The 27722-nt window shown below is 44.8% G+C and overlaps 1 protein-coding gene and 1 pseudogene across 5 annotated transcripts in view, besides 7 other annotated features; one reads left to right on the top strand and one right to left on the bottom strand.

The window, feature by feature from the left end:
* The window catches only part of IL17RD (interleukin 17 receptor D), an 80336-nt gene that overhangs the window by 19203 nt on the left and 33411 nt on the right, over positions 1 to 27722 (bottom strand). For all 5 annotated transcript variants that reach the window (NM_001318864.2, NM_017563.5, XM_047448369.1 and 2 more), the window contains 4 exons: positions 11072 to 11129; positions 5508 to 5633; positions 1009 to 1127; positions 353 to 473 (listed from right to left, as the gene is read on the bottom strand). In NM_001318864.2, the coding sequence (NP_001305793.1) occupies positions 353 to 470 (118 nt within the window). In that variant the 5' untranslated portion in view covers positions 471 to 473; positions 1009 to 1127; positions 5508 to 5633; positions 11072 to 11129. The remainder of the gene's footprint in view (positions 1 to 352; positions 474 to 1008; positions 1128 to 5507; positions 5634 to 11071; positions 11130 to 27722) is intronic.
* Positions 1727 to 2440: an enhancer, noted in NCBI's record as "H3K27ac-H3K4me1 hESC enhancer chr3:57144939-57145652 (GRCh37/hg19 assembly coordinates)". NCBI's record gives its function as "activates a minimal SCP1, AML or CMV promoter by ChIP-STARR-seq in naive H9 embryonic stem cells {active_cell/tissue: H9 hESC(naive)}" and the evidence as "EXISTENCE:reporter gene assay evidence [ECO:0000049][PMID:30033119]".
* Positions 19411 to 20236: an enhancer, noted in NCBI's record as "OCT4-NANOG-H3K27ac-H3K4me1 hESC enhancer chr3:57162623-57163448 (GRCh37/hg19 assembly coordinates)". NCBI's record gives its function as "activates a minimal SCP1, AML or CMV promoter by ChIP-STARR-seq in primed H9 embryonic stem cells {active_cell/tissue: H9 hESC(primed)}" and the evidence as "EXISTENCE:reporter gene assay evidence [ECO:0000049][PMID:30033119]".
* Positions 19411 to 21063: a biological region, named in NCBI's record as "OCT4-NANOG-H3K27ac-H3K4me1 hESC enhancers GRCh37_chr3:57162623-57163448 and GRCh37_chr3:57163449-57164275".
* Positions 20197 to 20491: a silencer, noted in NCBI's record as "tiled region #8210; K562 Repressive non-DNase unmatched - State 21:Repr". NCBI's record gives its function as "represses a minimal TATA promoter and a strong SV40 promoter by Sharpr-MPRA in K562 cells {active_cell/tissue: K562}" and the evidence as "EXISTENCE:reporter gene assay evidence [ECO:0000049][PMID:27701403]".
* Positions 20237 to 21063: an enhancer, noted in NCBI's record as "OCT4-NANOG-H3K27ac-H3K4me1 hESC enhancer chr3:57163449-57164275 (GRCh37/hg19 assembly coordinates)". NCBI's record gives its function as "activates a minimal SCP1, AML or CMV promoter by ChIP-STARR-seq in primed H9 embryonic stem cells {active_cell/tissue: H9 hESC(primed)}" and the evidence as "EXISTENCE:reporter gene assay evidence [ECO:0000049][PMID:30033119]".
* Positions 21064 to 21889: an enhancer, noted in NCBI's record as "OCT4-NANOG-H3K27ac-H3K4me1 hESC enhancer chr3:57164276-57165101 (GRCh37/hg19 assembly coordinates)". NCBI's record gives its function as "activates a minimal SCP1, AML or CMV promoter by ChIP-STARR-seq in naive and primed H9 embryonic stem cells {active_cell/tissue: H9 hESC(naive and primed)}" and the evidence as "EXISTENCE:reporter gene assay evidence [ECO:0000049][PMID:30033119]".
* Positions 21890 to 22716: an enhancer, noted in NCBI's record as "OCT4-NANOG-H3K27ac-H3K4me1 hESC enhancer chr3:57165102-57165928 (GRCh37/hg19 assembly coordinates)". NCBI's record gives its function as "activates a minimal SCP1, AML or CMV promoter by ChIP-STARR-seq in naive and primed H9 embryonic stem cells {active_cell/tissue: H9 hESC(naive and primed)}" and the evidence as "EXISTENCE:reporter gene assay evidence [ECO:0000049][PMID:30033119]".
* RPL19P2 (ribosomal protein L19 pseudogene 2) lies at positions 24919 to 25619 on the top strand (annotated as a pseudogene).

The raw sequence follows: 27722 nt of genomic DNA on the forward strand, positions 1-27722 counted from the left end.
ATCACTCAGGCTAGAGTGCAGTGGCCCAATCTTGGCTCACTGAAACCTCTGTCTCCCAGGTTCAAGCAATTCTCCTGCCTTAGCCTCCCGAGTAGTGGGATTACAGGCGCCTGCCACCACGCCTGGCTAATTTTTGTATTTTTAGAGAGACAGGGTTTCACCATGTTGGCCAGGCTGGTCTCGAACTCCTGACCTTGTGATCTGCCTGCCTCGGCCTCCCAAAGTGCTGGGATTAGAGGTGTGAGCCACCGCGCCCGGCCTTGGCACGTTCTTGAACACATTTCTGTAGAAAAATCATTAAAAGCGGAGAAAAGTCTTCTCATGGGAACCAGGCAGGAAAGGCCATACTCACCTCGGGTTCTAAAGAAGAAAGGGTGGTAATTGCTTTCGTTTTTAATGGAAGGAAAAGGGACAACCTTTACGAAATAATCCGTTTCAAATTTCATATTCAGGAAAGGTTGAGATTCCATTCCCTAAAAGGGAACAAAAACACAGTGACATCATGGAGAAATTACCCACCCCTCCACCTTCATAAGGTCTTCGCTCCTACCCCAACTGCCACCCAGACACAACTCCAGAGCTGCAGGACATGTTCCAGGGAAGCAGGAAGTCAGGTCTAGTTTCTGGACTAACTTGAGATTTGGATCGCTTAACCATGAAGATGGACAATGCGGTCTGTTTTTTGGCAAAGAACCCATGGCTTGTTAATACTGAACCTCAGAGTTGGGGCGCAGGGTGAGCCCACATACACTCTTTGGAGCACAAAGACACCTTCCAGGATCACTGCTCCAGCAGTAACCCGAGAGGCATGTTTACACAGGGAGGTGCTGAAGAATTTCCCTGGGAGCGTGGAGCAGGCTCAAGGTGCTGCTGTACCATTCTTGCCCACCTTGGCGGGTGGGGTGGACCCCATAGCCCCTCCTTCTCCAATTTCAGACTTTGAATACACTATTCAGGACCCTGGAACAATGGCATGTCTTCAGGAGCACGTTCCCCAGTGTGACTTACAGTTCTTTTGAAGCTACTGTTGAGCTGCTTCGGATCCTTTAGAATCAGTTGTTGGCACTGTCTTCCCTCCGACTTCAGCTCCTCCAGTATTACCCGAAATCCTTTCAGGAATTCGATGCCTAAGCAAAGCAGAATGCTTTTATTAATAGTGAACCTAATTACTTCTGAACACACTCTTCTTCCTCCAAGATTACCATCTTCTCTACCTACACACCAGAGTTAAAGGAATTCTAACTGTGGCCAGGGTATCTGAGTCTATAGAATGGAAAAAACACACCCCCTGCATTCCTCTGGTAAAGACCAGGTGATTTTCTCCATCCCACCATTACTAATTAATCCCTAATCCAGCCAGCTATTTCATAAATACCTATTGCCTCTCTGGCATTAGGGTTCAAATATTTAGACTCCAGTTACAATTGGTCATAAAAAGTCTGAAGTGGAATATATAATTTCTAGGTCATTACACAGAATACATTTGGCTGATGATAATTTCCAGTGTTGACTAGGGAATCCCCCAAAACCATGTTTCCACTTTAAGTTTTAGCTCTACATTTTTTGGCACATCTCACTGAGCAACATACAAAATTCCCAACAAATTGTGTCTGCACCCAAGGGGTTCTGAGGCTTGAGATTAAATAGCTTAGGGGAATGCCTGTGTGATTTACAAAGCGGTTCTTGCTCTAATCATGCCTGAAAGGCAGACACCCAAGGGTTGCCCAGTGTGTGCTCTTCATACAGCCTCCGAGGCCCCGAGACACCCACAGCGCCGCTGAAAGACACCAGCCCAGCCTCCTGCCACCTGAGCTCCCCCCACTGCACGTCCGACTAGATGCTTTCAAAAGGATTAAGCTCTGACGGTCACAAGCGCCAGCACCGGGTTTGTGTATCCCACGGAGACTGAAGTGGTCCAGCTGCAGCTGGAGAGCCCCAAAGCCTGCCGCAATGGCGAGATATCGATTTCACATTCCTTCTGAACATTTTCAACCCTTCCCCTCCCAGGACAAAAGTAATTACACAGGATGCAATTAACCAGGTGGGAAATTTATTGATGATAAAGGCCAGGAAAATCTTTTTCTCTTTCAAATAGGTTCTCCAATCCTATAATTATTTGATGAAGAATACATATTTCTTGGTGAGTAGGGAAGAGGAGCAACAATTACAGCTTCACATTTTAGGGTTTCAGAGTATTACTGTGCACAGGTATCGACTCTGCCATGCTGTATTTCAATTACAAAGCTTCCTGTGGGGGTGAAAGCCAGCTGAGCAACCACCAGAGATTCAGACAAGGTGATGACAAAGTCATTAGACCAACAACTATTTTAGATCTCGCAGGACTTGCCTTTTGAGATCCAAAAAAACTTTTTAAAACAAATCCTTAGTATTAATACTAAGATTTAATTTACGCAACATTCCCAGAATGACTAGTTAACGAAAGCCAAGTGATTAATACCATTAACAGCCATACATCTCACAATTACATAAAAATTCATCGTTGGGGCCGGGCGCGGTGACTCACGCCTGTAATCCCAGCACTTTGGAAGGCCGAGGCGGGCGAATCACAAGGTCAGGAGATTGAGACCACGGTGAAACCCTGTCTCTGCTAAAAATACAAAAAAAAAATCAGCTGGGCACAGTGGTGGGCGCCTGTAGTCCCAGCTACTCGGAAGGCTGAGTCAGGAGAATGGTGTGAACCTGGGAGGCGGAGCTTGCAGTGAGCTGAGATCATGCCACTGCACTCCAGCCTGGGCGACAGAGTGAGACTCTGTCTCAAAAAAAAAAAAAGAAAGAAAGAAAAAAAAATTCATCAGTTGGGGTGGCAAGCGGTGGTTCTTGTTCTTATTTTTAAAAGATTAGCCTAAAAACCGCTACACCAAGGTTCTGAGGCCGAGGGAAGAGGCAGCAAACGTAATTCCTTTATCCCTGTGACACATTACAGTACTATTAACACCTTGTAGTTATGTAATGATTAGTAATTTTATAGAGCAGCTTCCCAGGAAAGAACTTATTTGCTCTCTCTCCCATCATTTAAACTCATCAAATCCTCCCAACAACCACAGAAGGAAGGTGTTATTATCCCCATTTTACAGATGAGGAAACTGAGGTTTATAGTAGCTAACTGGCTTGCCCAGGGTCACACAGGAATAAAATGACAGAGGTGAGATTCGAACCCAGGAAGTGTCTGGCTCTCAGCCAGCGCTCTTAACTCACATGCTTTTCTACCTTCCAAGAAGTGTCCTTGATAGAACCTAACAGAAACTCTCCAGCCACCCCCACCCATAAATCAGCATCCAGGAAAAGCGCAGACTTCTGCCCCTACTGGTCGATGTTCAGTTTTCCTGTCACCAGCTCACATCTCTTACTTTCATTCTAACAAGGGGGCCTGCAATTCGTCAGGCCAACCCCTTAACCATTTAAGCCTTACATGGAATGACCACTTCCTTTTTATCTACAGAAAATGTTTTTAATCTTTAAATGTTAAGATAATATTATTTTTGGAAACCCCAGTAGGTTAAAACCCAGAAGTACTGATGTGGAGAAGTGGTTCGGCCCATGGGTCTGCTTTATCCTCCCTCTCCTGCAATCTGGTTCTTCTGAGATTTATCCTGTTCCGATTAAGAAATTCAGACTTTACTTCTCCCTTGGCCAGGTTTTCACAAACTTGTAACATCAGGTGGCAGTGTCAAAGCGGCAGTCCTGAGAACCAGGTTCTGATCATGGTAATAGCAGCCACTATTCTTTGAGAGTTCTCTCTGAAAATGTACCATGTGTGTCTCTAACCATGAGGCAGTTCTCATCTCCCCTCTACAGATTGGGAAGCTGGGGTTCAGTGAGGTTCAATGCCTCATGTGAAAGATCAATTCTGGGGGTTCAAACCCAGGCCCACCTGAACAAATGGTCCCCTTCCTACATCTCACACTTGGCTAACCCATTCTTTCCTGTGTATCTTCAATTCATTCAAGAGGACAAGCAGATTTAGCCCCAACCCGAATCTAGCCATATAATACAGGTTTGCTTTTTTCTTTTAGTTTTTTCTTTTGTTTTTTATTTATTTATTTATTTTTGAGACAGAGTTTCCCTCTTGTTGTCCAGGCTGGAGCGCAATGGTGCGATCTCGGCTCACCGCAACCTCTGCCTTGTGGGTTCAAGTGATTCTCCTGCCTCAGCCCCCTAAGTAACTGGGATTACAGGCATGCGACACCACACCCAGCTGATTTTGTATTTTTAGTGGAGACGGGGTTTCACCATGTTGGTCAGGCTAGTCTCAAACTCCTGACCTCAGGTGATCCACCTGCCTCGGCCTCCCTAAGTGCTGGAATTACAGGCATGAGCCACCACGCCCAGCCTGTTTTGTTTTATAAAGAGACAGGGTCTCTCACTCTATAGCTCAGGCTTGAGTGCAGTGGCACGATAATCATAGCTAACTGTAGCATCAAATGCTGGGCTCAACTGATCCTCCTGCCTCGGCCGTCCAAGTAGCTAAGACTACAGACTTGTGCCACCATGCCCGGATAATTTTTTAATCTTTTTGTAGAAATGGGGGGGTCTCACTTTGTTGCCCAGGCTAGTCTCGAACTCCTGGCCTCAAATGATCCTCCCATCTCGGCCTCCCAAAGTGCTGAGATTACAGGTGTAAGCCACCATGCTTGGCCTCCTTTTTTTTGTTCTTTTCCATTTGGTTTTTTTGGCTTATACAGTTTAAATAAAAATTAAAGCTGGGCGCAGTGGCTCACGCCTGTAATCCCAGCACTTTTGGAGGCCGAGGCGGGCGGATCACGAGGTCAGGAGTTTGAGACCAGCCTGGCCAACATGGTGAAACCCCATCTCTACTAAAAATACAAAAATTAGCTGGGTGTGGTGGTGGGCACTTATAATCCCAGCTACTCGGGCAGCTGAGGCAGGAGAATCGCTTGAAACTGGAAGGCGGAAGTTGCAGTGAGCCGAGATCGCACCATTGCACTCCAGCCTGGGTGAAAGAGCGAAACTATGTCTCAAAAAAAAAAAAAAAATTCAATTTGTTGCCAACATTTAAAAATGAATTGATTTCATTGTCTTTCATGAACACTGGGATTTTCCTGAAAAATCACAACATGTGCCAATGCTGGGCTGGCATGTCTCTGTGTCCGCGGAGACTGCTAATGCTGGATGGCCATTACGCCCTTGGATGGGCCATGGGCTTTCTTGGCACTGCTGCCCTCCCACCGCTGACTAGGGCTGAGACAGAGGCCAAGACATCAGTGCCATTTATTACTCACACAATATTACTTTTCAAGCCCATGTGAATAACAATAACAGTAGAAGAAACAAAAGACCATAGGGCACAGCCTCAAGCCATGTGTACGCCCAGCAAATATATGCAACAAAGTGTATCTGTGCCCAATCCAACATAAGCCTCACTCACATCAAGACCTGCCTGGTTCCTGGAGACCATCATGTGGGACCTTTGCACTGGGCCCTATCCACCCAGGTTATCACCATGCACTCGATTTTTGACCACTCACCGAGGGCCCCTGGGGACCAAAGAATGGTGACTGCCACTTGGTCATGGCAAGCATACTGGCTGATGGTGATATTCTGGGCGTCAGCAATCACATGCTTCCCCACTGGATTCAAGTAGGTGGTACAATCTAGAGAGTAGGGAGAATGAGAACAGTTAAATTTAAAATTTCATTTTTATTTTCAGGTTCATCTTATCAAAATAAACAGGGCATGTCTGAAGGTGGCCAAATCCATTCTGTTAAAGATGTGTCCCTCAAAAGCCCAAAATAAGACATGAGAGGTTGACTACTGCTTGGAAAACTGTAAGATGTTACAGAGGAATGATTTGTAGCACCACCACCACCACCCACTCATCCCATGTTAAATTCCAGGGCAATGTTGGGAGGATCTTATACAGTGTGGAGTTTGTGTGTGTACCTGGCATTAACTTTTTTTAGACCTAAATCAGTAATTATTTACATCAATTCAACCAATTTTCAGCATTAAAGAGTGATATGAAACAAAACAATCGCTAAATAACTTGGGCATTGTTTGTTTTTAGAAAAAACCTAGAGGGCCAGGTGATTGGGGGAAAGGAACTAACACTCAGATGTGAATTCATAGGGGAGAGATTCTCAGCAAGATTCTTAACCCAGTTAGCACAGGCTACTAACTCAGTGACAAGTGATAAAGATGTTAACTAGCATTGGTCAAAGGTAAAATTTTTGTTCTTAGACACCATGTGTCATCAAAGACACCAGCAACCCCCAGTAAATCCAAGGCACCCCACATTACTCAAAAAACAGAAGCCACACCAATCTTTGATTTTGCCTGAGGAGTTTACTCACTGCCACCTGTCAATGTAGCCATAGCAGCTGCACCACCTGGTCTTGCTAAATACACCTTCAAAATCGGCAAGTTTCCTAAAAAGCTGCCAAAACCTTCCGGCCAGAATCAGGCTGCGACTTCAGAGAATGGCCATGAGCTGTCTGGCCACTCTTGCAGGGAGAACCATTCACCATCCCCAGCAGGCACCACTTGTAATTCTTATGCTGCTTCATCCCCATTTCTTTCTCAATGATCAGACTTGAACACCCTCTCTTTTAGTATCTGCTGCAAAAGATCATCAGTTCCATCAAACATCCAAACCTGTCCATTACCCCTCTGAAGCCAGGGTGTTTTTATTTGGGATAAAGCATTCCAGGGGACTTTGTAAGAAGCTCTGTGAGTCTCCCTTTTTCTCCCTGTAGAGTCTCCCTGCACATTTCCCATTTTTATGACTAAAAATGTTCATTGCAGACATTGAAAAACCACAAAAGACTATAAGAAAAATATAAAAGGCATTCATAACCTCTTACCACACAGAGGTGCAATGAACATTCTAATGAATACCCTTCCAAGCCTTGTTTTAACATGCACATAATATTCCTCTTTTTAAATGTATTAAAGCATAACATACACACACTAAAACACAACCCCCATACTTGTAAAACTCCATCCTTCATGCTGCCTGTATTCTGCTTTATTGCCTGACTACATTAGGCACACTCCCTTCCTCCACTCAACTCCGTCAGCTTCAAAAGCAGTCATATTTACATTTCTTTTTTTCTTTTCTTTTTTTTTTTTTTTTTTGAGACAGAGTTTCGCTCTTGTTGCCCGGGCTGGAGTGCAATGGCGCAATCTCGGCTCATGGCAACCTCTGCCTCCTGAGTTGAAGCGATTCTCCTGCCTCAGCCTCCCGAGTAGCTGGGATTACAGGCATGCGCCACCACACCCGGCTAATTTTTGTATTTTTTAGTAGAGACGAGGTTTCTCCATGTTGGTCAGGCTGGTCTCGAACTCCCGACCTCAGGTGATCCACCCACCTTGGCCTCCCAAGGTGCTGAGATTAGAGGCGTGAGCCACCATGCCTGGCCCATATTTACATTTCAATATTACTTCTTTCAAAGGATGTTAATAAAACCAAATTCTACTTCTAGTGAATATTCACTCTTAAAGCAATCAACATATGTTCTCTGGGTAAAGAAGAGATTTTAGAATAGGAAAAAATTTATAACATCTGGTTTAACATCCTCACTATACAAATGAGGAAACTGCAGCTATGAGAGATCAGCTCTTACCACTTCTATCACAGCACAGAGCTTATTGCTACCAACATGAGTTCTGAATCAGAGGTATTCAGCCTGTAAAAATCCTGGCTGAGACCAGCTTCCCAAAATATTAAAAAAAAAAAAAAAAAAGCAAGATCCTGTCATACTTGTAAAGTTCAAATATTTTGATTTATTGTGGTCCATAATGAAAGAGAATCAAACAGCTCTGAAAAGATGCATGAACAAGAGCAAATAATGGTTGTTGTTGTCATTGTTTTCTTTGTTCATTCCTAATGCCAAAATTAATACTGTTTGGGTTTCTGTAAATATAGTTATGCAATATAAAGTTTAAGAATTTTTTTTTTTTTTTTTTGAGACAGAGTCTCGCTCTGTCACCCAGGCTGGAGTGCAGTGGCATAATCTCAGCTCACTGCAACCTCCGCCTCCTGGGTTCAAGCAATTCTCCTGTCTCAGCCTCCTGAGTAGCTGGGACTACAGGCACATGCCACCACGCCCAGCTAATTTTTGTATTTTTAGTAGAGACAGAGTTTCACCTTATTGGTTAGGTTGGTCTCGAACTCCTGACCTCAGGTGATCCACCCGCTTTGGCCTCCCAAAGTGCTGGGATTACAGGCATGAGCCACTGTGCCCAGCCAATATAAAGTCTAAGAATTAAGAAAATTTAATATAACCTACTTGGGCATACCACCTCAGAATGTAAAGGAAAAAACATGGAATTCAAGGCCAAAGGAGGCAGAGAGACTTATAAAATTTAATTTTGACTTAATGGCAAGACATTTTCTTCCTGTATAACATTAAATGACAAAGGAATAGAAAAATACGATTTTTAGTAATTTTGTTGAAAACCCAGTAATTGTTTCTTAGTTATTTCAAACAAGTTATTTCAGTTGACTAGTAACCAGTCAACTGAGCAGTAACAGGAACTTCCCTGTGGAAGACAGAAATATCTTTTTCAATGGAAAATATGGAATAAGTTTTTCTACACAGCCTGGATCCAATTACTAGCAAGTCCAAAGTGTTGGATTCTGGTTGCAAAAAATTTATGTCCAAATGACATTTTCCCAAAATGCAACTGAACTTCAAACGTCTCAGGAGTCAATACAAGCTGTGAATTAAATTTTAATTAAATGTTGAAGAATTAAAAAGAAAGTAATGACTAAGAGACAGGCATAGGTATGTGGGCCAAATATTTGGTATTATTAAAAAAACAGCAAGATACTTTAAAGTTTTACACGGAGAGATCCTCCTTCACAAACCCCATATTAAATTAGAGATACAAATGTTTGTTTGCAGCTGACGGGAAAATTCTGAACTCTTGAATGTAATACAAGATCTGCTAGGACCAAGAGCACATATTAGAAATTCACTTTGTAACTCAAAGAAAGATCCCTTCCACGTCTTTACTTAGCTGAACCAAGTATCATGGATGTGCAAATCTTTCATTAGCATCTACCCAGCATTTACCCAGAACATATATACACCACCAATGTGAGCTCCCTGAGTTGCACGTGTAAGTCCTCACTGGTTAGCCTAAAATAGCCATGCCAGCAACTGTGGGTGTGAATCTGACACACATATTTGTATCTTAAAATTGTTAGATTGTAACCGCAACTTTTACAATCCTGCTTTAGCAGTGATTATGCATTGAGAGGCCTCAATGCAACCTAAGCCCTTTACTTACATTGATTCATAACCCTGTCCAAGAGATTAATCAGATGCCAGACGTCACTAAATATGAGTCAAGTTCCTTCTTGTCATTTTTACTTAAATTATGGCTGATAAAGCTAAAATGATCACAATTCTATACAACTACCTTCTTATGAATGAAAGGAGCTGCTTAGAAAAAGCACCCCCCACATGCCCTTAGAAAACAGTTCAGTCAGAAAGAGTCACCCTTTTTTGAGAGAAAGGGCAAAAAAGTGGTGCTTGCATTCCAACTCCAGTTGGACTGGCTTCTATATTAATAGATATCAATTTAATGAATGTACATTGCAGTCAGCTCCCAAGTTGAGCAGTTATAAGCATTACCTCATTTAAACCTCAAAATGATGCTAGAAGAAGGAAACTAAGTTTTATTTTAAAAGAGAAAACTGAAGCCTGGAGAAGTCAAATCACTAGCCACAGCTCACAGAACTGATAGGTGGGGCCAGGCACAGTGGCTCACACCTGTAATCCCAGCACTTTGGGAGGCAGAGGCGGGCAGATAACTTGAGGCCAGGAGTTCAAGACCAGCCTGGCTAACATGGCAAAACCCAGTCTCTACTAAAAATACAAAAACTAACTGGGTGTGTGGCCGGGCGCGGTGGCTCACTCCTGTAATCCCAGCACTTTGGGAGGCCGAGGCAGGAGGATAACAAGGTCAGGAGATCAAGACCATCCTGGCTAACACAGTGAAACCCCATCTCTACTAAAAATACAAAAAATTAGCCTGGCGTGGTGGCAGGCGCCTGTAGTCCCAGCTACTCGGGAGGCTGAGGCAGGAGAATGGCACGGACCCGGGAGGTGGAGCTTGCAGTGAGCCAAGATCGTGCCACTGCACTCCAGCCTGGGCGACAGAGCGAGACTCCATCTCAAAAAAAACAAAAACAAAAACAAAAAACAAAACTAGGTGTGGTGGCATGCACCTGTAATCCCAGCTGCTCAGGAGGCTGAGGCATGAGAATCGCTTGAACCCAGGAGGTGGAGGTTGCAGTGAGCAGAGATCACGCCACTACACTCCAGCCTGGGTGACAGAGTGAGACTCTATCTCAAAAAAGAAAAAGAAAAGAAAAGAGAAAAGAACTGATAGATGGGGTACTGCGGTTGGTGCCCAGGCCTGGTCAGCGATGGCCAACCAACTGCAGACTGCAGATCCCTGGCCCATCTGGAACCCAGTTTCACACAGATTCACCTTGTGTGAATTTCACACAGATTCACCTTGTGTGAATTTCACACAGATTCACTCTGTGTGAAATTTTAAAAATAACTGCCATTATTAAAAAATGTTTACACAAAAAGCACAAATTTCTCACTATTCTTGGAAATCAATTTGCTACCTTCAGTGGGAATTCCTCATGGCCACCATATTTGGAATTAAGGAGTCAAGGCTCCCCTCAGACTAGACATGAGCTATCCAGTTTGCCATACTGTCCACCATTCCCTAGCACCCTGCACTGGGGCAACTTTGTTTATGTGTTCCTTGCTGGGCCATACTGGCAGCTATGTCCTTAACAACACATGCAGATAAACCCCAAGGAACACAGGGAAAGTCTCCTTACACAACTTTTCTGAACACTATGGAAGACACTTGACCTGGTCAAGCTCCCAAATACTTGAGTGGCCTAATTGAGACTGAGCTGCTTTAGCTGTTGACAAACCTGAACAGGTTCAGAAAATTCGTCAACCCCAAGACTGCAGAGTCCTTGATTAAGCATGGCTATGTAATCTCTAGATGACTCAAAGGGCTCCATTCTTCAGCAATAAAGGCGGTTACTTACTGTCATATTTGAAGGTGATGTTGTACAGCCCACTGTTTCTGCTGGCTGGCCCCACTCCCTGTGGGAAAACAAGAGAACATGATGCAGAGTGAAGCCAATTTGCTCTTCCAACACAAAGCCCCATGGAGTCCAAATGCAAGCAGCACTGCTGAGACCCAGGGTCATGCCAGTCCCCGGACATCATCCACCACTCTTTCTGCCCGCTTCATGGCCCCCCACAGCTGTCAAACTCCCGCCAGCCCAGGAGATTCCTAACTGCCAGGCCATAGGGATCATGAGCACTCACTTCCCCTAAAACAATAAGGGCAGGCTGTTCTATGTTTAGGGGTTAAATAATAATTCATTAACAGTAAAATTGGGAGAGAGACCAAGAGCTGCCAGCTGGAGCCCTTCCAGTTAGATCCACTTTGAGCACTGATTGGTTATAAAATTCATCTACTCCAGACGCCCTCATCCGCAAGCTCTATTAAGCCACGACAGATAGGCAATTCCTCAACTCTAAGGAAACTGGTTTCTCATTTCAAGACTGGGAATGAGTATGGGAATAAGCTGTTACTTTTAATGAGAAAATTATTCACTGCATCCATACCTATGCTTGGAATACATAGTGTGGGTCATAAAAGAAAAAGAAAAAAGACTTTAAAAGGCCTAACTCTTACTCTTGGTGATGTGGCCGTCAGCCATCTGCACTCAATACCAGGGCTAACAACTGTGCCAGACTTCCCACTTTAATTATAGCATCCACAGAGTGAGCCCCGGAATCCTCCCGTTGACCCCGCCTTTTCCACCACTTATGCATCATGAGAAAGAGCAGCTACAGATCTACCAACTCCAATTTAACTGTTTCTGTAATACTCTGCAAATGTGCCGTTCAGCATTAATCACAGAATTCTCCAAAATATGTTAATTCTGAAATGCTAAATGATGGGAAAATATTCCAGCCACACACCTGAAGTTTCCACTCAACAAGAAGGATGTTGGAGGGAACCATATGCGGGCAGCCTGGCATTTAATGGGTAATTGTTACACCAAAACAAAATGTGGAGAACACTTCTGATGGAGCCCAGGGTTTTCAGCCACAACCACATGACATCCATATGCCACAGGCATCTTCACGCTGCTTATCCTGAAGCCAGGCACACCCACTGAAAGTGTATCCCTGAACTCAGATATACATGGGCCTTGGGAAAGCACAATTGGGCAGAGAGGGGCACATGGACACACCACCCACCCCCCACTCTAAGGTGAGGAATAAGTAACAGAAAACCTAAATCCACATGACACACCAGCCCACAATCTACTGAAGCTCCCCTTCTTCATAGTTCACCTTCCTTCTCCAGCTTTCCTCCTTCTAGCCTCTCTTCCCCACATATACAAGATTCCAGAACTCCTCACCTGAACTAAAACACTTTGGAAAGTGTTGTGAACTTATTAAAATCCTAAGAGTGTCTACAACTGCTTAGGGACAAGACCACAGTTTGTGCAACTAAAGGCTGCTCAACCTGCAGATGGCAGACACCACAGTAACACAACCAGGTAGGAGACCAGGAACGAGACAATCCAATCCCCCAAGACCAAAGCCCAAGATCCCCAAATCACACTGTTCTGTGCTCTTATAAGCCCCCAAGACATAAACTCACTCCCCATCTATTAGGAGCCAGACATTATGCTAGCTATGCTGGCAAACAAAACAGCCACTGTCCCCGCCCTCATGAAATGAATTAACATGGGGTTCATTATTTCAAAGAAGATTAACTGGGTAGGTAGATTATGTCCTAGGCATGCAGATAAATTTCAAATCACACCCTGGCCCTCCAAGAATGCCCAGTTTAGATGGCAAAACAAGGTATATATAGCAAGGGTGAAAGAGCCTGGCATAAGTAAGTACAGTGTATGAAATGCCACAAGACAGCCCTTGAGTAAGGATGAATGAAGGATGGGTAAGATAACAGATTCCAGAAGCTTAACAAGGAGAAGGATAACTGGGCTAGAATGAAGAGGAAAGCAGAGTAACATCATGGGAGGAAAAGAAAACTATAATCTAGAAGCCAAGGTTAGTACCTCAATCCTCCCATCCTCCACCGGATGCCCGATGGCAAACCACTCTACTCTAGGGGTCCCCAACCCCCGGGCCCTGGACTGGTCCTGGTCCATGGCCTGTTAGGAGCCAGGCCGCGCAGCAGGTGGGCAGTGGGAGAGCATTACCACCTGAGCTCCGACTCCTGTCAGATCAGCAGTGGCACTGGATTCTTATAGGAGCACAAACCCTATTGTGAACTGTGCATACGAGGGATCTAGGCTCTGTGCTCCTTATGAGAATCTAACTAATGCCTGATGATCTGAGGTGGAACAGTCTGATCCCGAAACCATCCCCTACTGACCCCCCAGTGCATGGAAAAATTGTCTTCCACGAAACTAGTCCCTGGTGCTAAAAAGGTTGGGGACCGCTGCTCTACACCACTGGGTCTGGGTCTCCTCAACTGTCTTTTTTTTTTTTTTTTTTTTTAAAGAATTTACATGGCTTTCCTCTAGGAGGTGGTTTTGAGGAAGATCAAATGAAGCCGGGTACAGGAGGGACTTCGCAAAAAGGAAACACATTCCATCTAACAATATGCTCCCTAGTGCATAGGGACCCTGGCGACCAATCACCTTACTTGTCAGATGTAGCTTTTTTTTTTGTTCCAGTTCCCTTATATTTGTTTGTTTGTTTCCTCTTATTCCTATTGCAACATGTTATTTGCAGGTACTTATTGGGCAATGGCCAATGCATTGTGGAAAGGAGCCCAAGACAGTGAGGTGTGCTATGCCATGCATTCAAGAACCTAAATCCCTCCAAATAAAGTCTCTGTGATGTGTGTGGAACTGTTCAGAGGGGGGTCCAGTGAGGCAGGCCTGGAAGGAAAGTGAAGCTTACCTGTGGCATCCATTCACTCTCTGCTGAGCATTCCACCTTGGCCTAAGACTCACAAGGCTGGGCACTCAGCTATGAAGCAGACCCAGGTCTTGACCTCAAGGGGCTCTGGCCACGTGCATATCTGCCCTCGCTCCCCTGCTTTGAGCCCTTCACTGGCTCCCTGTCCCTCCAGATCATTCCTGATGTGACACCTGCCTACCTTCCCAGTCACTCCCTCTTGCACCTTCTAAACCCTTTGGGCACTGCAGTTCTGCTCGGAAAATGTCCTTGGGCATGCCTGCATTCTCAGAATCCCCTCCTCTTCTCTTCCTATCACCCAGGTCCCCTCCCCTGGTGGGCTGCTTGCCGCATCACACTGTGTGTTCCTGACACATCGGTCTGACTGCTACTCACTTGAGGGGAACATGGTAATTCATTCCCACAATTTGAGTAGCATGGCACTTTTAGGGATGTAGATGCAAAATGGTAGTTCCAATTCCACAGAAAATCAGAGATCATAAGACCCCGTGGCCATCCACGCCGGGTCATGGAGCTCAGAAGCAGGAGAAAACATCCCAGGTATTAGTTCTTACATGCATTTTAAAGACCTTTTGGCTGCGCGTGGTGGCTCACACCTGTAATCTCAGCACTTTGGGAGGCCGAGGCAGGTGGATCACCTGAAGTCAGGAGTTTGAGACCAGCCTGACCAACATGGTGAAACCCCATCTCTACTAAAAATACAAAAAATTAACTGGGTGTAATGGCGGGCACCTGTAATCCCAGCTACTTGGGAGGCTGAGGCGGGAGAATCGCTTGAACCCGGGAGGCGGAGGTTGCAGTGAGCCGAGATCGCGCCATCGTACTCCATCCTGGGTGACAAGAACAAAACTCCATCTCAAACAAACAAACAAACAAAAACCTTTCATTCCTGGAATTCCTCAAGTGCACAGCTTCTCAGCACATGCATCACAGATGCTCTATAAGGCTGTCCTTAGCTCAACGCCCAAATAATACTTCAGCTGCTCTAGAGCCCTCAGAAACCACCTTAGCAATGGTATCCCAGGCTAGCCCATGGTGCACTTCTATTTTCCTTACACCTCAGGATAGGTAGAATGATAGCCCCTTAAACGTGTCCACATTCTAGTTCCCAGAACCTGTGAGTATGCTATTTTACAGAGCAAAAGGGACTATGGAGATGTAATTAAGTTCAAGTATCCTGAGATGGGGAGAGTATTCTGGGTTATCCAAGTGGGCCCAATAACCACAAGGGTCTTTACAAGAGGAAGACAGAAGGGTCAGAATCAAAGACATGTGACAATGCAATGAGGAGAGAGAGAAAGAGAGATCGATTTTAAGTACTGGTTTTGTGGATGGAGGAAGGAGGAGCTAAGGAGCCACAGAAAGCAGGCGGCCTCTGGAGACTGAAAAAGGCAAGGAATGAATCCTCCCCTACAGCCTCCAGAAGGAGCCAGCGCAGCCAACACTTTGATTTTGGCCACATTAAGATCCGTTTTAGAATTCTGACCTCCAGAACTATAATAAGACAATAAACGTAAGTCATTTTAAGCCACTAAGGTTTTGGTAATTTATTATAGAAGCAACTGAAAGCTAATATACACTCATATAATTTCAGCTGCAATATGGATAAAATAGACCTCCATGTCACACACACGGCACGTGCTGTCATTCCTCCACCCTGCCCCCCAACACCCGGAGCTGATCCCTGTCCTTGTGTTCTCCCCAACCCAAGCTTCAGGCAGGCATAGAACATGCACCCATCAGAGCTGCCGCTTGAGATTCTACTGTCCTAGATGTAGGCTTCTGTGGGCTGACCTGGGGCTGACCCCCAGAAGTAGAAAAGTGGTTAAGACAGTTGGTTTTGGAGTTATGCAGATGTGTGTCTAAACCACCAGCTTTCCAGCTGTGTGACTCTGGGTAAATTTCTGAACCTCCCTGAGCTATAAAGTATATGAATAGGCTGGGTGCAGTGGCTCACACCTGTAATCCCAGCACTTTGGGAGGCCAAGGCGGCCGGATCACCCGAGGTCAGGAGTTTGAGAGTAGCCTGGCCAACATGGTAAAACCCCGCCTCTACTAAAAATACGAAAATTAGCCAGGCGTGGTGGTGGGTGCCTGTAATCCCAGCTACTTGGAAGGCTGAGACAGGAGAATTGCTTGAATCTGGGAGGTGGAGGTTGCAGTGAGCCAAGATCGCGCCATTTCACTCCAGCCTAGGCAAAAAGAGTGAGGCTCCATCTCTAAAGAAAAAAAAAAAGTGTTTGAATAAAACTTTGTGGAAAGCATTGTGTGAGATGACATATATCAAGTGCTCAGCATAGCATCTGACACACAATAACCTCAGAAATGTTTAGGTCATCCTTCCCAAGAAGGTTACTGCCTCAATAAGCAGGTGAGAGTTGTACTGCAGGACAAGTTACAAAGAGATAATGAGGAAGACTGGAGAAAGGTCACAGGTGGTGCATTTCCTAGGAGTGATCTGTCTTCTGCATCCAGAACCTTGGAGGATTGTGGAAGATAAGACAGACAGACAGGTCAGGGCAAGGTATTGGTAGGCACTGATCACCAGACTAAAATGCATTCAACAGATGGTCAAGGAGGCCTAGTAACTCCAGTTTTGTTAAGGGCATAGGTTGGATTGGAAAAGGAGAGGCTGAAGACAGAGTCGAGGAGGACAGCCCTCAAAACCCCTGCCTACAGTCCTGGGCCTGACACATAGTCCTTGATAAGTATAAGTTTTCTGCCTGAATAAATGAATGCATTATTAAGCCAAGTAATATACCCCAAGAACCTAGCTTGGTGTTACACTGATTTATGGGCTTAGAATGAGGGCCCACACTAAGAGAAAACAGATAAGGCAACTTACAAGGCTGTTGACCAGCTTTGTAAACTGTTCTTCAAGAAACAATCCCAAGCTTTTAGCTACTATACCATTTTTGATATTTAATGAGCTGACGATTAAAAATACTTGTTTGTTGCCTGTTACTTGAAAACTATAAATGCCAATGCAGTGGACTCAGGGTGCCACATTCTTAGTTAATTAAGCACCCCCATTTGCTGCACTAACGGGTAGCTTTTAATTTGTTCCAAAGGGAGCTAAGCAGCAAGCCCCGGCTGTCTGGAGTGCTGCTATGAAATTCCTTTGGTTGGTGCTCTATGGTCAGTAGGGACGGAAGCAGCAAATGGCAACATAATGGAGAAAACATCTTTAACTCAGGAAGGGAGGGGAGGATAACCCTTAAGTGCTCTAAATGAATAAAATTCAAAAGCTAAAAACCCACACCATGCTCCAGCCATATATGGCAAAGAAGCAAAGGCCTGGATACAGAGAGGCCGGCAGCGGAGCAGGATCCACAGGCAGCAGCTAGGGGCAGCCATGAAGGTGATCAGACAGCCAACTTCCTGAGGGGCCTTTGGGCATTCTAAGCCATTTGAAGACACTAACTTCCCAGAGCAACATTTCCAATTCACCTCCAGCATAGCTTAACTGCCATTTTGGAAAAATGCATTTCAAGAACTGTGCTAAATATAGCGCCCCTCTTCCAGTGGAAGGCAGGCCAAACTTTCAAATCAAGTAAGGAACTTTCAGAAAGCCAGTAATGTTTTAGTGAACAGAGTTAGAGTGAAAATTTAAATAAGAGCATTTGCACAAAGAATTGAGAAGACTTTTTTTTTTGAGGCGGAGTCTTGCTTAGTTGCCTAGGCTGGAGTGCAGTGGTGAGATCTCGGCTCACTGCAACCTCCGCCTCCCAGGTTCAAGTGATCCTACCCTCTCAGCCTCCCGAGTAGCTGGGATTACAGGTGCCCACCACCATGCCTGGCTAATTTTTGTATTTGTAGTAGAGACAGGGTTTTGCCATGTTGGCCAGGCTGGTCTCAAACTCCTGACCTCAGGTGATCCACTCGCCTTGGCCTCCCAAAGTGCTGGTATTACAGGCATGAGCCACTGCACCCGGCCGGAAGATGGGTTTTTTTAAAGGTACACCTAGTAACTACTTAAAACTAAGGCCAACTCATATATATATATATATAAATATATATAAAAATATATATAAATATATATAAAAATATATAAATATATATATAAATATATATAAATATATATAAAAATATATATAAATATATATAAATATATATAAAAATATATAAAAATATATATAAATATATATAAAAATATATATAAATATATATAAATATAAATATATATATATAAATAAATAAATAAATAAATATATATATATATATATTTTTTTTTTGAGATAAGAGTCTTGCTTTGTCGCCCAGGCTGGAGTGCAATAGCGTGATCTTGGCTCACTGCAGTCTCCACCTCCTGGGTTCAAGAGATTTTTTTGCCTCAGCTTCCCAAGTAGCTGGGATTACAGGCGCCCACCACCATGTCTGGCTAATTTTTGTATTTTTAGTAGAGACAGGTGTTTCCCCATGTTAGTCAGCCTGGTCTCGAACTCCTGATCTCAAGAGATCTGCCCGCCTTGGCCTCCCAAAGTGCTGGGATTACAGGCGTGAGCCACCAAGCCCAGCCATACTTTCTGTTTTTCTATAAAATTTTCTCCATCTTGGGCTTCCACTGTGTAACAGCAGACAGTGCTGTGAGGCTTAAAACGTACAACGGGACTAACATCTTTGTCTCTGACCAATGGACATGAGAAGGGTGAGACGAAGCAGAATATGGGGCCATTTGACTCCATGCCAGTTCAGATGGTTTCCTAAACAAAGATAGACCCCACTTACTTCAGTTCAAACCTTTAACAACAACAACAAAAAGTCGGCAAAGGCAGAGAAGCCCCAGGTGATGTAAGCTGAAGAGAATGCTGGTGAACGCAAAACGCAGGGAAAATAAATCAAAAGCCAGCCTGGGCCTGGATCTGTTCAAGATATTCTCTCCACATTCCCAGGAGCTGTTCTCTCTCTCTCTCAAATTGAGATGCAACCAACTTCAGAAATGAAGGATGCCAGCAGTCTGATTTGGAGGTGAGGTCTTGGATGCGTAGCAAGGAACACACAAGCTCTTGGGGAGTGCTGCTGGGTTCCCACCAGCAATTACCACATTGGCCCAAAAAGACCCGGAGATCTTAAGCTAATTAAAGAGATTTGCTCGGGGAAGTAGGAAATCACTACTCCAGAGCACCGCCTGTGCACCAGACCAAAGCCGTAATCGTGATTCATCTCTGACATGTTGCTAATCAGCACACACATGTTCCTAATTTCACGCTCTCCAAAGGAAAGCTGAAGGGACAATTGTTTCTGAGCTCTAACATGAGGCCGACCCATGCCAAGTTACCATGTGTCCTGCTTATCAAACTGAAAGCTCTAGTTTTCATCCAAATTTCTTTTCACTATCCCACCCCTCCACCCACTTTGCCCCCCGAAATCCATTCACTAAAGATAAAGATATGTTAGGAAATCCATTCACTAAAGATAAAGATATGTTAGGACATTGGTGTGAGTTGTTTCTCCGACAGCAACTTCTCTAAATGATGGTGGCCTGAATGGAACTGCATATATTTTTTAATGTTCTTCCCCACGCCTGACTTTATGATTTTCTTATTGCTTTGCCACTGGAACCAGCCGTGCAGCTAAAACCCAGAGATATCAACACAGACACACACACACGCAATGCACACAAGCAAACTTTCTCCCTGGGTTTAAAAACAAGGCAAAACAAAGTTGTGCAGTCTCTTTAGTTCTCACAAAGCAAAAACTCAAGTACTTTTTCCAATTAGTCTGTTAAGGATCTGGGCTGTGTGTTCTCCCATGGCTGATAATCACAAATAGACAGGATTGTTCCATTTTTCCAATTCCGAAAACGTTAGAGACACGCTATAAAACATGCCTATGGACAGAGAGCCAGACCTTTCCCTCCGCTTCGCACACCACTCCCATCCACTCAAATGAGAACCGCATGTTAGAGAACTGGCATCTTTAAGGTAACAGTCAACCCATCTGTAGTTTAAAAAGCATACACAGACTCAGATTAACTGTGTCTGTGTATGCTTTTTCCATAAATACTGGGTACAAAGAGGAAGCAAACAACCAACCACCCAAATACCCACCCAGCAAATCGGCTACTGACTCACTCTCACTTAGCCGTGAAAGGAACAGTTACAAAGACTTCACTCCAGAAGCCGAAAAAGTCTCTTCCTATGAGGGCAAAATAGTGATTAGACAATAGAGGAAAACTTAAAGCTATAAACATGATTGTTATGCCTAAGCTGAGAGGAAATGTTCAGATCAAAACACAACTACTAATGAAAAGCCTTAGGACCACACAGAGAGGTGCACCGAATTGTGCTGACTTCAAATACCACTGTTTCCGAGGCACAGGGACTGAGTCTCCAAATACTAAGCCACATCTGGAATTCTGCTTTTACAGCACAAATGCCTATAGAAATGGGGGATTGTGACGTTGCCATGGGGACCCAGCCTCCTCCACCCCAACAGGTCCCCGGCAAGCCCCACGCACATTTCCTTCAAGGTGGATTTCGCATATTTGGAAATTATGGAAGGCCATCATTTTAGGTTTCAGTGTTAATGGAAATATTACAGGACATGCTAGAAAGCAAGGCAACCCCTTCTGTCAGCCGATTAAGTCTGTCCACATGGTGGTCTCGGACAGAAAAACCTTAAAATAACAGTGGGAAGCAGTAAGTCAGCATTAGGCCCTTTTTCAAAATGTGTGGCTTTCCCCCACTTTCTCTAGGAAGGAGACAGGCTTCAAGCATCCTTTTAAATGCCCCTGTTCTCTAGCTGCAAAAATCCAAGTGAGTCAACCTGTGCTCAAAACTGCCTGCCATTAGTAGCCCACCTCAGGCTCCAGGTAGCCTTACCCTTGCTGAACTGAACCTCTAATCCCACCCTGCAGGGCTACTGGCCAAGGCAGGGTGTATTTGCTTTTAATTACTGATGACCCTGTTTTTGTTAAGAGGAAAAGTTTACTAGAACCTTTGGAGAATCCTGTGAAAAATAATCCTTACCCAATTTCCCCCAGAAACTTTTCATACACAATTTTGGGAGGTTCCCAGAGCTCATGAAGGCCACCCAAGGGCCTCTGAGGGGTTCACAGGCCCCCAGGTCCAAAGCCATGTTTAGACACAAAAAATCCCAAGACCCCACTCAGAAATCAAAGGGTGCATCTTGGCTTTGCCAGTTCCCTGGGATGCAGACCCTCCAACTACCTCTCCAGGTGTGAATTCAAATAGCAATATATAAAATATCCACACATATACCATAACCACCCTTGGGTGACCCCAGCTGGTTCTCTCTGTCCTCCAGGAGTGAATATTCTCCCATTCATTCTGACTAGAATGTTCTAAGCTAAAGCCAGAGTGACCCTTCTAATAAGTATCTGCCTCTCTCTGCAAGGTCTGGCCTTTCCCAGAAGCTTTCTGGGGGAGAGGGAAGTAGTCAGCCCAGAGGTGAAGCCACAGTCACCAAGCTCTGACGGGCAGATGGGAGGAGAAACAGGAGTAAAGCCTCCTGTTTCACGGCCCTGCCCGGCCCAGGGGTGACACTCACGGTGTTACCTCCTGATCAAACCATTTCCATCTAGTCTCTTAGATAGCAAGTCCTGAAACATCCCCCTGAGATGCAGTCAGGGTTTCTGAATGCCTTTGAGTGTGTGTGTTGTCAGTATGTGTGCCCAGCCACAAAGCCAACAACAACAACAAAAAAGCACCAGGAAGTCAGCAGTGCCGGCTCCAGGTGTTAACACTTAGCGCATCCTGCCCAGCCCCCACCAGCTTGAGGCCAGCCGCCTGGGAGCCGGACACAGCAATTAGACCCTTCCCAGGCCAGGCGCCTTTGTCCCCTCGCTAACATCATTAGTGTCTGACTTCCTGTGCACAACGGGGCCTCCCGGGGGGCAATCACCGGCTGACCGGGGCAAGGCATTAGACTTCCTTTGTCAAAGACCCTTAAATGTTAACAAGCATGTGAACAAGCTTCCCCTCCCCCACCCCCTCCTACCTCAGCTGTTCCTCCAGCCCACCACTCTCAACTGTCTTGATTCTCCCCAAGCTGTGGGAATCCCAGTTACTTGGGAGAAATATCAAGTCTCAATGTTGGGCGAGCAGCACTGCCTTTCTACAGAAAGAGCCTCCAAACCTGATTTCCTAGAACCTTTCAGTATAAGCATGCAACTCACACTCGCTGAGTGCCCACTGGTTACAAAATACCACCGTCCTGCCTTAAGAAGGGTGAAACAAAGAAAGGTGAAAGTATTCAGCCAACAGGAGTCCCAGGCTGTGCCACACCCAGCCCAATGCCCATCAACCACAGGTGCACTCTGTTCATGTGTTCATGGACTGAAGTACAAAGTTTGGCCTCAAGATGCAAGGACTTTGAAGGTTTGAGTGATATCCTGAGGCCTTCAGAAAAACACTGGTGAGATCTGAAAACGGGGTGAGTGTGAGTTGCTATACAGCTGCAATCCTACCGTCATCCCTCTCTTGGCAATACTATCACCACCAAGGCCAAAATCACTTTGCTCTCATTTACCCCTCATTACCAAGACTCACAGCTTTTTATTTGGGGGAGAACTGTGGTGCATGTGTGCACACACATTGGCACATGGTATTTTCAGGAGGCTTCTGGACCCCTGAAGCCCCCAGACCTCTCACCTGCCTTATAGTCCAGCTCCACTCAATAGCTTGATAGCTTAAAGCTACGTCTGTTGAATAATAGAGAGTGGTTTTACTTCGGTGATTAAAAACAAAATTCAGGCCAGCCATGGTGGCTCACACCTGTAATCCCAGCATTTTGGGAGGCGGAGGCCAGCGGATTGCTTGAGCTCAGGAGTTTAAGACCAGCCTGGGCAAAACGGTGAAACCCATTCTACAAAAAGTACAAAAATATTAGCCAGACATGGTGGTACACACCTGTGGTCCCAGCTACTTGGGAGGCTGAGGCAGGGGGATCGCTTGAGCCAAGGAGGTTGTGACCGTAGTGAGCCGAGATCACACCACCACACTCCAGACTGGGTGACAGAGCAAGACACTGTAAAAGAAGGGGCGGGCGCAGCGGCTCACATTTGTAATCCCAGCATTTTGGGAGGCCGAAGTTGGGGGATCACAAGGTCAGGAGTTCGAGACCAGCCTGGTCAACATGGCTAATAATACAAAAAAAAATTTAGCCAGGCGTGGTGGCACCTGCCTGTAATCCCAGCTACTCGGGAGGCTGAGGCAGGAGAATCGCTGGAACCCAGGAGGCAGAGGTTGCAGTGAGCCGAGATCGCACCACTGCACTCTAGCCTGGGCGACAGAGTAAGACTCTGTCTCAAAAACAACAACAACAACAAAAACAAACAAAAAATTCTAATGGGGGAGGGAAGTGGTTGATGTAAAATCTCCATTTTAAATATAATTATTGGATTAATGCCATCCAACTGTAATCCTTTATAGGCAGTATTTGTTACAACTCAGTAACTAAACACTTTGTCCAAGATGCTGGGACTCATGAACTTTACAAAGTAGAAACATGAAAGGCAACAACTTACACTGTTGAGCACATAAACCCATCAAGACAGAGGTATCTAGCACCTTTCGGATCACAGGTGACAACAGTTATGTCTGCAGCCAAGTCAGTTGCACTGAATCAAGATAAAAAGTGAACTAGGATGTGGCTAATTCTTATTCTTTTTTTTTCATCACTGAGTGTGGAGGAAAATACTCATAGTGTCCACTAGATGAAGAAAACAGCTGATTTTCCCACTCCTGCTCAACTGCCTTTGCAGAGTATGGTATTTGCGGTCAACACACAAAACTGAGTTGGGTTTGGGATATATTTTATAGTATCTGTGCATGAGCCACTATGAAGGATAATCTAAAATTCCAACTTTCCAAAATGAATAATCTATGTCTCTGACTCCTACTCCAGCCACAGCAAAACTCATTCAGCTTCAAAATTAAGATGTTGGTATAAAGCAAAGGACACCATCGCTTACATGATGCCAAGTCCCCCACAAGTTTATTTTGATGAATGTTACAAGTTTCAAAGCGTAAAAAATTTCACTGTCAGTTCTGACTTTTACCTTTTGCCAAACTAATTTTAAAATAGCAGGCAATCGGAAGGATATATTCAAACACTAATGATCCCTGTAACTTTACATCGTCCTACTATTTGGATGGAAGCCAGCAGTCTGTTCTTAAACTATAAGCAATAAATCTAGAAGACTCTCTTTCCTAATTTCCCAAAGATACCACATGGAATTTCCATTAAAGCACACACACACACATGCAAACACACATACACACAATGACATACCAATTAAATCATTGTATGACATTTAGGCCAGGAAATAATTATGCTTGCCAAGGAGTATTCAGCTTTGTTTTAATTTCCTTGAACCACTAAAATGTCATTCGGAGAAGGCAAAGAATGATGTAAAAATGAAGTACTGATGTCTTGGTCAATTTTAGATTTTGATAAATGTCTTTTTTGTGGGTGAAGAAGGCAGTGGGGTGTTCCCAGGAATTAAGGTCTCCCTGCACTCCCTCTCCAAGGATTTCTGGCAAGGAGTGGTATAGAGAGGTCAATTATAAAGCAAATCCATTGTGAGGCAGACGCAGCAGATGGAACAGCAGGTAGGAGCATATTTCCACCCCTGATGAAGTGGGCCTGGTGGTGTGTTCCTAGTCCTCTCCTATAGGGCTGAGGCAAGTAAATGGCACATACAACCTTGTCCCTTCACCTGTCAACAGAAAGAAATCAATGTATCTTGCCACTTCATTAAGGCTTCCCATGGAGAAATGTTTACAAAATCAAAGTAATATGGTGAAATTAAATTAGAAACCTGTAACATTTTGTCATGAAGTTAGCATGAAACAGAAGCTAACCAGAAAAGATTAAAAGCAGTGATTAATTCTTTTTTAAAGGAAAGTCCAAAGGTTCTGGCTAAACTGACTTTAAACTAAGAATCGGGGAGCTCATTGCTTTCGCTGCTGCGGCCACAGCCATGAGTATGCTCAGGTTTCAGATGAGGCTCGCCTTTAGTGTCCTCTGCTGTGGCAAGAAGAAGGTCTGGTTGGACCCCAATAAGACCAATGAAATCGCCAATGCCAACTTCCATCAGCAGATCCAGAAGCTGATCAAAGATGGGCTGATCATCTACAAACCTGTGACTTTCCATTCCCGGGCTTGATGCCGGGAAAACACCTTGGCCCGCTGGAAGGGCAGGCACATGGGCATAAGTAAGCGAAAGGGTACAGCCAATGCCCAAATGCCAGGGAACGTAACTTGGATGAGGAGAATGCGGATTCTGTGCTGGCTGCTGAGAAGATACTGTGAATCTAAGAAGATTGATCACCACACATATCACAGCCTGTACCTGAAGGTGAAGGGGAATGTGTTCAAAAACAAGTGGATTCTCATGGAACACATCCTCAAGCTGAAGGCAGACAAGGCCCACAAGAAGCTGCAGGCTGACCAGGCTAAGGCCCGCAGGTCTAAGACCAAGGAAGCACGCAAGCACCATGAAGACCGCCTACAGGCCAAGGAGGAGATCATCAAGACTTTGTCTAAGGAGGAAGAGACCGAGAAGTGAAAGCTCCCCCTTTGTCTGTACATACTGGCCTCAGCGATTACGTAGATCAACCACTAAAATAAAACAAGCCTTTACCTGCCATAAATAAATAAATAAGCTAAGAATGGGGGCTAGGTGTGGTGGCTCAATCCTGCAATCCCAGCACTTTGAGGCAGGGGGATTATTGAGCCCCAGAGTTTCAGACCAGCCTGGACAACATGGTGAAACCCCATCTCTACCAACAAAAACACAAAAATTGGCCAGGTATGGTGGCATGCACCTGTAGTCCCAGCTACTTGGGAGGTTGATATGGAAGGATGGCTTGAGCCCAGGAGATGGAAGTAGCAGTGAGCCATGATCACTCCACTACCCTCCAGCCTGGGCAACAGAGCAAGACCTTGTCTCAAAACAAACAAAAACAAACAAACAAACAAAAAACACACAAAAAAAACAAAGAATGGGGAGCTGGGTCAGTGTGAGGCCAAGCTGTCAGGTGAGCAGCACTGCTTCTAGGGACACAGATTCAAGCATTTCCTGGAGCACTGAGGAGGTGAAGCCCCAAAGGCACAGCAGGTTCAGAGCAAGGTGGGCAGGAGGCTGGGAGGAGGCAGAAGGCCAGGCCAGGATGTGCCACTTCCTGCCTGCCACTTCCCCAACTGCCTGCGAAGTGGTGGGATGCTCAATGATTCTCAGAGATTCCCTAAGAGTGGGTTTTCAAGTTTCTAGAACTGTAGGCTTTTCTTTTGAAGACAGCTTTATTATTTTTGTAAAGATAACAAGTTCAAGGTAAAATAAAATTAAGTACAAAGAAGAATATGAAACTTCTCCCATTCCATCATTTTGAAGAAGACTCTTCCAGACGGTCTTTACTGCCTGCATCACATGGACTGTGACTTGACATAAATTAGATCCTAATATATATAACATTTGCTCTCATAAATCTCCACCAGCTATCAGTTAATGCAGTTCCTTCTGGGTGAAATATGTAAGATCTATGGAGGAAATAACAAAAAGAGCCTAATAAAGTGAGTTAGGACCACTGGGCAAAATTCTTTCTAAGGGTCTTATCAACTGTCATCAACCATCATTTTCTACAAAGGGAAAACACCATTAGTAGGAAGTAGTATAGCAGGCCCCGTCACCTGCTCCAGAGCCGGCTGTGTACATGGAAAAGGCAAGAGGACACGGTGACAAGGCTACTTGCACAGTATACACACGTTGATACGCTGGTAGGTTGCCTATTGATGTGGGTATCCTAAACGCTGTTCTGCAGGGTAACCAAATTACTATAATTTATCCTGTATGTTTCTTTAAAATTACATAAATGTAGGGGATTTTATGATTAGATGACTGGTCTCCAGTGAATAACAGAACTGTGTAAAATTAAAAGGGAAACTGGCAAATCCAGGAAGCAGATAACAATGTCTTCCTCTCTCCAGCACAACAATCACATTACAGCCGTGTGGAAACCTAAGACCTCCAACTCTTTCCAGAGAGTCAGGGTGGCTTGATTTTACAGATCAAGCTAAGGAGATAAAAACCACTCACTGGTAAAAAACGGTAAATTCCATTTTGTGATTAGAATCACAACACATATGTAGCCCAGGTGTGGAAGAAGAAAGAATGAGCTCTGCCTCAAAAACAGCCTGGCCAGGGATGGTGGCTCCCACCTGTAATCCCAGCATTTTGGGAGGCCAAGGCAGCAGGAATGCTCGAGACCAGGAATTCAAGACCAGCCTGGACTCCATCTCATAGACCCCATCTGTATGAAAAATAAGAATAATTAGCTGGGTGTGGTGGCATACGCCTGTAGTCCCAGCTGCTGAGGAGGATCTCTTGAGCCCAGGAGGTTGAGGATGCAGTGATTGCACCACTGCACTCCAGCCTGGGAAACAGAGCAAAGCTCTGTCTACCCCTCCCCCGCCCCCAACCCCCACTCAAAAAAAAAAAAAAAAAAAAAAACTTAGCTGATCTAAAAGCAATATTTAACTTGCTTTTAGGATTCTCTCCTTCTCATTTATCCATGAAAAACCTCTGCAAATGCCCCAGGATTTATCAACCAGATGTCTCAAGAGCTTGAAATATGCTTTTGCACTTGGGAAAGCCATTTTGAGTGAGAATAAGGCTAAACTAGACCCCTGCCTCTAGGTGTTTACAATTAGTTTTGGAAAACAAAGCTAAAAGACACGAAACTACAGTAGATA

The sequence above is a fragment of the Homo sapiens genome, chromosome 3 (genome assembly GCF_000001405.40).
Source record: "Homo sapiens chromosome 3, GRCh38.p14 Primary Assembly".
Lineage (NCBI taxonomy): Eukaryota > Metazoa > Chordata > Mammalia > Primates > Hominidae > Homo > Homo sapiens.